Genomic DNA, 8,406 nt, shown 5'->3' with positions numbered 1-8,406 from the left:
CACAAGTGCTTGTGTCCCTTCTATGAATTCTCAGAGCTCTTAATGCTTCTCTAGTGACATTTTCCATGTTCTGACACAGTGTAGTCATGGCTTATCTGCTACTGGACTCTAATCTGCCTGAGGGCAGGGGCGTCATCCTATTCATTCCTTGTCTTTAGGATGATGCCCTGCAAAGAGTACTTGAAGCAAGTGTGTTCCAGACTTTTACCTCCTGTCAAAGGCATTTAAAGAGCTTAGCGTTACAGCTTTGTACTGTCATCCTGTGGGGATTCATTCTTTACCACCCAGAAATTGTGAATTGCATTTCAGATGAAAGCTTTTGATTAAAACAGGCCTTGCTGGCAGAGGCACCTCATGTCACTGGCTGCAAAGTGGTGCCAGGATGTGAGAATGAGCCAGGTCTCACCCAGCTTTGGGATTTCAATAAACATCAATACTCATATGTTTAAAACTGAAGCAAAATCCCTCAAAAGATCTTAAACTGCATTGAAGTGGGGATGAAAGATACTGCTGATCTTAGAGTTGGCATGGCAAAGAGAACTTTGGAACTCTTTGATCAATGCTGAAATAGGCTATGAGTCTCACAATGGAAAATAATGACATAGGTTATGCAGTCAAGACCTTACTTTTATGGGTGAGGAAACTGAGACCCGGGGAGGATCAATGATGGGATCACAGCTGGTCACCTGTTGAGACCGGTCAGAACACTCACTCCCCTGGCTACAACTGAAGTTGGGCTGTGAGGGGCTAGGGATGTCACAGCGGGGAACTCAGAGTTCATTCAAGTCTGGCTGCTGAAAGCCATTAACAGGTTCTGAGCACAAGATACCATGGTCGGCATTTAGGAAGAACAGTCTGGAGGTCCATGCTAGGGGGAGGAGGGAAAGGCAGAGGACAGGGAGGGTTCTGCAGAGACCTGGGCCAGCAGGAGCCATGTGAGGACGTGATGACAATGCAGCCATACCAGGGGATATTTTGGATGGACCAGCAATGGCAGCATGCCATTGTATAGGAATAATTTCTCGATAAATTGCTTTCCAAATAAATTGTTGATTATTAACCCTTCACATGCTTTGTCACACTTATTTTCCAATGTCTCCTACCAGATGTTCCTTCTGAGAAAGACATAAGGAAATGGTGAAGTCAGAAATTTTGTCCACAGAAAGGAAGATGTATCCCCTTTCATCTGCCTCAGAGAAGGAAACAAAAAGCTATGATGCACAAAATGGAATGCACCCTTACTTTTGAATACCATGCGGCCATTAAAAGCCTGAGGTATCGTGTGTGCAGTGATGTGGCACATGCACGTTGTTCTGTGACTAATACAAGTCAGGGAACCATCATCATGGCATCACCTTAATGATTTCAAAACAAATCAGGCCATACCAGCATATTCATACCCCTGCTTTCATAAGTACACAGCCAAATACCTCATTGCTCAAGAGAGGAAAAGGGAGCATGCCCTCATTAGTCTATATCTATCCCCACTGTTCACATTTTTGCCAACAAGAGCGTATTTATGTAATTTTTTTAATTTTTACTTTAAGTTCTGGGATACATGTGCAGAATGTGCAGGTTTGTTACATAGGTATACGTGTGCCATGGTGGTTTGCTGCACCCATCAACCCATCATCCAGGTTTTAAGCCCCACATGCATTAGGTATTTGTCCTAATGCTCTCCTTCCCCTTGCTCCCCACCCCCTGACAGACCCTGGTGTATGATGTTCCCCTCTCTGTGTCAATGTATTTATGTAATATTTAAAAATACATTTAAAAACAGTTGCTGATGTTTGTATTGCCATCAGAAAAGAAATCTCTACCTGATTTTCTTAGCATGTGGAGAGGAGCAAAAACTAGAATGACAAAGCTTTGAGAGAATGTGGCTCTAAAAAGATGGAGCTGAGCTGGTCCAGAAGCCTGTAACTGGGTAGGTCCTGGGGGTTCCAGGAGGGTGAAGTATGCACCTGTCCCAGGAGCCTTCAGCTGTCAGCATGATGAGGTGGCATGCCATGGCCGGCCAGCTTTTGGAAGGCCACAGACATCCCTGAACCTGTGCTCTGGGGACAGCAATTCTACGTTGTGGGCTATAAGACTTTATTGTATAAGCTACCATAGAGTTTAAGAAAGTGTCTGTGTTTCTGTTTCCCTTCTTGATTTTCTATTATGAAAATCTTTCCTTTTTACTCAGTTGACCTTAGAAGATCAATTAAGATCAGCTTTCCATAGTAAGCAGATTTCTTCAACTCAGAGAGCAGCTAATATGACATTAAAATCTTTTGTCCATTCTCTTTTCTCTTCATTTTTTCTTTTTTTCTTTCTTCTTTTTTTTTCTTTTTTTTTTACTTATCAAGATGATTTGGGAGGCCAAGATGGCCGAATAGGAACAGCTCCGGTCTACATCTCCCAGAGTGAGCGACGCAGAAGACGGGTGATTTCTGCATTTCCAACTGAGGTACCGGGTTCATCTCAATGGGGAGTGCCTGACAGTAGGTGCAGAACGGTGGGTGCAGCGCACCATGCATGAGCCGAAGCAGGGTGAGGCATTGCCTCACCCAGGAAGTGCAAGGGGTCAGGGAATTCCCTTTCCTAGTCAAAGAAAGGGGTGACAGATGGCACCTGGAAAATCAGGTCACTCCCACCCTAATACTACGCTTTTCCAACAGGCTTAAAAAACGGCACACCAGGAGATTATATCCGCACCTGGCTTGGAGGGTCCTATGCCCATGGAGTCTCTCTCATCGCTAACACAGCAGTCCAAGATCAAACTGCAAAGTGGCAGCGAGGCTGGGGGAGGGGCGCCCACCATTGCTGAGTTAGTTGTTTGATTAGATAAACAAAGCAGCCAGAAGCTCAAACTGGGTGGAGCCCACCACAGCTCAAGGAGGCCTGCCTGCCTCTGTAGGCTCCACCTCTGGGGGCAGGGCACAGACAAACAAAAAGACAGCAGTAACCTCTGCAAACTTAAATGTCCCTCTCTGACAGCTTTGAAGAGAGCAGTGGTTCTCCCAGCACACAGCTGGAGATCTGAGAATGGGCAGACTGCCTCCTCAAGTGGGTCCCTGACCCCCGAGTAGCCTAACTGGGAGGCACCCCCCAGTAGGGGCGGACTGACACCTCACACGGCCAGGTACTCCTCTGAGACAAAACTTCCAGAGGAACGATCAGGCAGCAGCATTTGCGGGTCACCAATATACGCTGTTCTGCAGCCACCACTGCTGATACCCAGGCAAATAGGGTCTGGAGTGGACCTCTAGCAAACTCCAACAGACCTGCAGCTGAGGGTCCTGTCTGTTAAAAGGAAAACTAACAAACAGAAAGGACATCCACACCAAAAACCCATCTGTATGTCACCATCATCAAAGACCAAAGGTAGATAAAACCACAAAGATGGGAAAAAAACAGAGCAGAAAAACTGGAAACACTAAATATCAGAGTGCCTCTCCTCCTCAAAAGGAATGCACCTCCTCACCAGCAATGGAACAAAGCTAATGGAGAATGACTTTGACAAGCTGAGAGAAGAAGGCTTCAGACGATCAAACTACTCCGAGCCACATGAGGAAATTCGAACCAATGGCAAAGAAGTTAAAAGCTTTGAAAAAAAATTAGACGAATGGATAACTAGAATAACCAATGCAGAGAAGTCCTTAAAGGACCTGATGGAGCTGAAAACCAAGGCATGAGAGCTACGTGATGAATGCGCAAGACTCAGTAGCTGATTAGATCAACTGGAAGGAAGGGTATCAGTGATGGAAGACGAAATGAATGAAATGAAGCGAGAAGAGAAGTTTAGAGAAAAAGAATAAAAAGAAACGAGCAAAGCCTCCAAGAAATATGGGACTATGTGAAAAGACCGAATCTACATCTGATTGGTGTACCTGAAAGTGACGGGGAGAATGGAACCAAGTTGGAAAACACTCTGCAGGATATTATCCAGGAGAACTTCCCCAATCTAGCAAGGTAGGCCAACATTCAAATTCAGGAAATACAGAGAACGCCACAAAGATACTCCTCCAGAAGAGCAACTCCAAGACACACAATTGTCAGATTCACCAAAGTTGAAACGAAGCAAAAAATGTTAAGGGCAGCCAGAGGGAAAGCTCGGGTTACCCACAAAGGGAAGCCCATCAGACTAACAGCTGATCTCTCGGCAGAAACTCTATATGCCAGAAGAGAGTGGGGACCAATATTCAACATTCTTAAAGGAAATAATTTTCAACCCAGAATTTCGTATCCAGCCAAACTAAGCTTCATAAGTGAAGGAGAAATAAAATACTTTACAGACAAGCAAATGCTGAGAGATTTTGTCACCACCAGGCCTGCCCTACAAGAGCTCCTACAGGAAGCACTAAACATGGAAAGGAATGACCGGTACCAGCCACTGCAAAAACATGCCAAATTGTAAAGACCATTGAGGCTAGGAAGAAACTGCATCAACTAATGAGCAAAATAACCAGCTAACATCATAATGACAGGATCAAATTCACACATAACAATATTAACTTTAAATGTAAATGCTCCAATTAAAAGACATAGACTGGCAAATTGGATAAAGAGTCAAGACCCATCAGTGTGCTGTATTCAGGAGACCCATCTCACGTGCAGAGACACACATAGGCTCAAAATAAAGGGATCGAGGAAGATCTACCAAGCAAATAGGAAACAAAAAAAAGGCAGGCATTGCAATCCTAGTCTCTGATAAAACAGACTTTAAACCAACAAAGATCAAAAGAGACAAAGAAGGCCATTACATAATGGAAAAGGGATCAATTCAACAAGAAGAGCGAACTATCCTAAATATATATGCACCCAATACAGGAGCACCCAGATTCATAAAGCAAGTCCTTAGTGATGTGCAAAGAGATTTAGACTCCCACACAATAATAATGGGAGACTTTAACACCCCACTGTTAACATTAGACAGATCAATGAGACAGAAAGTTAACAAGGATATCCAGGAATTGAACTCAGCTCTGCAACAAGCAGACCTAATAGACATCTACAGAACTTTCCACCCCAAATCAACAGAATATACATTCTTTTCAGCACCACACCACACCTACTCCAAAATTGACCACATAGTTGGAAGTAAAGCACTCCTCAGCAAATGTAAAAGAACAGAAATTATAACAAACTGTCTCTCAGACCACAGTGCAATCAAACTAGAACTCACGATTAAGAAACTCACTCAAAACCGCTCTACTACATGGAAACTGAACAACCTGCTCCTGAATGACTACTGGGTAAATAATGAAATGAAGGCAGAAATAAACATGCTCTTTGAAACCAATGAGAACAAAGACACAACATACCAGAATCTCTGGGACACATTCAAAGCAGTGTGTAGAGGGAAATGTATAGCACTAAATGCCCACAAGAGAAAGCACAAAAGATCTAAAATTGACAACCTAACATCACAATTAAAAGAACTAGAGAAGCAAGAGCAAACACATTCAAAAGATAGCAGAAAGCAAGAAATAACTAAGATCAGAGAAGAACTGAAGGAAATAGAGACACAAAAAACCCTTCAAAAAATTAATGAATCCAGGAGCTGGTTTTTTGAAAAGATCAACAAAATTGATAGACTGCTAGCAAGACTAATAAAGAAGAAAAGAGAGAAGAATCAAATAGATGCAATAAAAAATGATAAAGGAGATATCACCACTGATCCCACAGAAATACAAACTACCATCAGAGAATACTATAAACACCTCTATGCAAATAAACTAGAAAATCTAGAAGAAATAGATAAATTCCTCGACACATACATCCTCCCAAGACTAAACCAGGAAGAAGTTGAATCTCTCAATAGACCAATAACAGGCTCTGAAATTGAGGCAATAATCAATAGCTTACCAACCAAAAAAAGTCCAGGACCAGATGGATTCACAGCCAAATTCTACCAGAGGTACAAAGAGGAGCTGGTACCATTCCTTCTGAAACTATTCCAATCAATAGAAAAAGAGGGAATCCTCCCTAACTCATTTTATGAGGCCAGCATCATCCTGATACCAAAGCCTGGCAGAGACACAACAAAAAAAGAGAATTTTAGACCAATATCCTTGATGAACATCGATGCAAAAATCCTCAATAAAATACTGGCAAACCAAATCCAGCAGCACATCAAAAAGCTTATCCACCATGATCAAGTGGGTTTCATCCCTGGGATGCAAGGCTGCTTCAATATGCGCAAATCAATAAATGTAATCCAGCATATAAACGGAACCAAAGACAAAAACTACATGATTATCTCAATAGATGCAGAAAAGGCCTTTAACAAAATTCAACAACCTTCATGCTAAAAACTCTCAATAAATTAGGTATTGATGGGACGTGTCTCAAAATAATAAGAGCTATCTATGACAAACCCACAGCCAATATCTTACTGAATGGGCAAAAACTGGAAGCATTCCCTTTGAAAACTGGTACAAGACAGGGATGCCCTCTCTCACCACTCCTATTCAACATAGTGTTGGAAGTTCTGGCCAGGGCAATCAGGCAGGAGAAGGAAATAAAGGGTATTCAATTAGGAAAAGAGGAAGTCAAATTGTCCCTGTTTGCAGATGACATGATTGTATGTATAGAAAACCCAATCCTCTCAGCCCAAAATCTCCTCAAGCTGATAAGCAAATTCAGCAAAGTCTCAGGATACAAAATCAATGTACAAAAATCACAAGCAGTCTTATACACCAATAACAGACAAACAGAGAGACAAATCATGAGTGAACTCCCATTCACAATTGTTTCAAAGAGAATAAAATACCTAGGAATCCAACTTACAAGGGATGTGAAGGACCTCTTCAGGGAGAACTGCAAACCACTGCTCAATGAAATAAAAGAGGATACAAACAAATGGAAGAACATTCCATGCTCATGGGTAGGAAGAATCAATATCGTCAAAATGACCATAATGCCCAAGGTAATTTATAGATTCAATGACATCCCCATCAAGCTACCAATGACTTTCTTTACAGAATTGGAAAAAAACTACTTTAAAGTTCATATGGAACCAAAAAATAGCCTGCATCGCCAAGTCAATCCTAAGCCAAAAGAACAAAGCTGGAGGCATCACCCTACCTGACTTCAAACTATACCACAAGGCTACAGTAACCAAAACAGCATGGTACTGGTAACAAAACAGAGACATAGACCAATGGAACAGAACAGAGCCCTCAGAAATAATGCCACATATCTATAACTATCTGATCCTTGACAAACCTGACAGAAACAAGTAATGGGGAAAGGATTCCCTATTTAATAAATGGTGCTGGGAAAACTGGCTCGCCATATGTAGAAAGCTGAAACTGAAACCCTTCCTTACACCTTATACAAAAATTAATTCAAGATGGATTAAAGACTTAAATGTTAGACCTAAAACCATAAAAACCCTAGAAGAAAACCTAGGCAATACCATTCAGGACATAGGCATGGGCAAGGACTTCATGTCTAAAACACAAAAAGCAATAGCAACAAAAGCCAAAATTGACAAATGGGATCTAATTAAACTAAAGAGCTTCTGCACAGCAAAAGAAACTACCATCAGAGTGAACAGGCAACCTACAGAATGGGAGAAAATTTTTGCAATCTACTCATCTGACAAAGGGCTAATATCCACAATCTACAATGAACTCAAACAAATTTACAAGAAAAAAACAAACAACCCGATCAAAAAGTGGGTGAAGGACATGAACAGACACTTCTCAAAAGAAGACATTTATGCAGCCAAAAAACACATGAAAAAATGCTCATCATCACTGGCCATCAGAGAAATGCAAATCAAAACCACAATGAGATACCATCTCACACCAGTTAGAATGGTGATCATTAAAAAGTCAGGAAACAGCAGATGCTGGAGAGGATGTGGAGACATAGGAACACTTTTACACTGTTGGTGGAACTGTAAACTAGTTCAACCACTGTAGAAGTCAGTGTGGCGATTCCTTAGGGATGTAGAACTAGAAATACCATTTGACCCAGCCATCCCATTACCGGGTATATACCCAAAGGATTATAAATCATGCTGCTCTAAAGACACATGTACACGTATGTTTATTGCGGCACTGTTCACAATAGCAAAGACTTGGAACCAACCTAAATGTCCAACAACAATAGACTGGATTAAGAAAATGTGGCACATATACACTATGGAATACTATGCAGCCATAAAAAGTGATGAGTTCATGTCCTTTGTAGGGACATGGATGAAACTGGAAACCATCATTCTCAGCAAACTATCGCAAGGACAAAAAACGGAACACTGCATGTTCTCACTCATAGGTGGGAATTGAACAATGAGAACACATGGACACAGGAAGGGGAACATCACACACCAGGGACTGTTGTGGGGTGGGGGGAGGGGGGAGGGATAGCATTAGGAGATATATCTAATGCTAAATGACGAGTTAATGG

The 8,406-nt window shown here is 41.9% G+C and overlaps 1 annotated feature.

Moving 5' to 3' along the window:
• Nucleotides 2,407–2,906: an enhancer, noted in NCBI's record as "H3K4me1 hESC enhancer chr8:52959497-52959996 (GRCh37/hg19 assembly coordinates)". NCBI's record gives its function as "activates a minimal SCP1, AML or CMV promoter by ChIP-STARR-seq in naive H9 embryonic stem cells {active_cell/tissue: H9 hESC(naive)}" and the evidence as "EXISTENCE:reporter gene assay evidence [ECO:0000049][PMID:30033119]".

This window comes from Homo sapiens, chromosome 8 (assembly GCF_000001405.40).
Source record: "Homo sapiens chromosome 8, GRCh38.p14 Primary Assembly".
Taxonomy (NCBI): Eukaryota; Metazoa; Chordata; class Mammalia; order Primates; family Hominidae; genus Homo; species Homo sapiens.
This window is presented reverse-complemented; position numbering and strand designations above follow the sequence as displayed.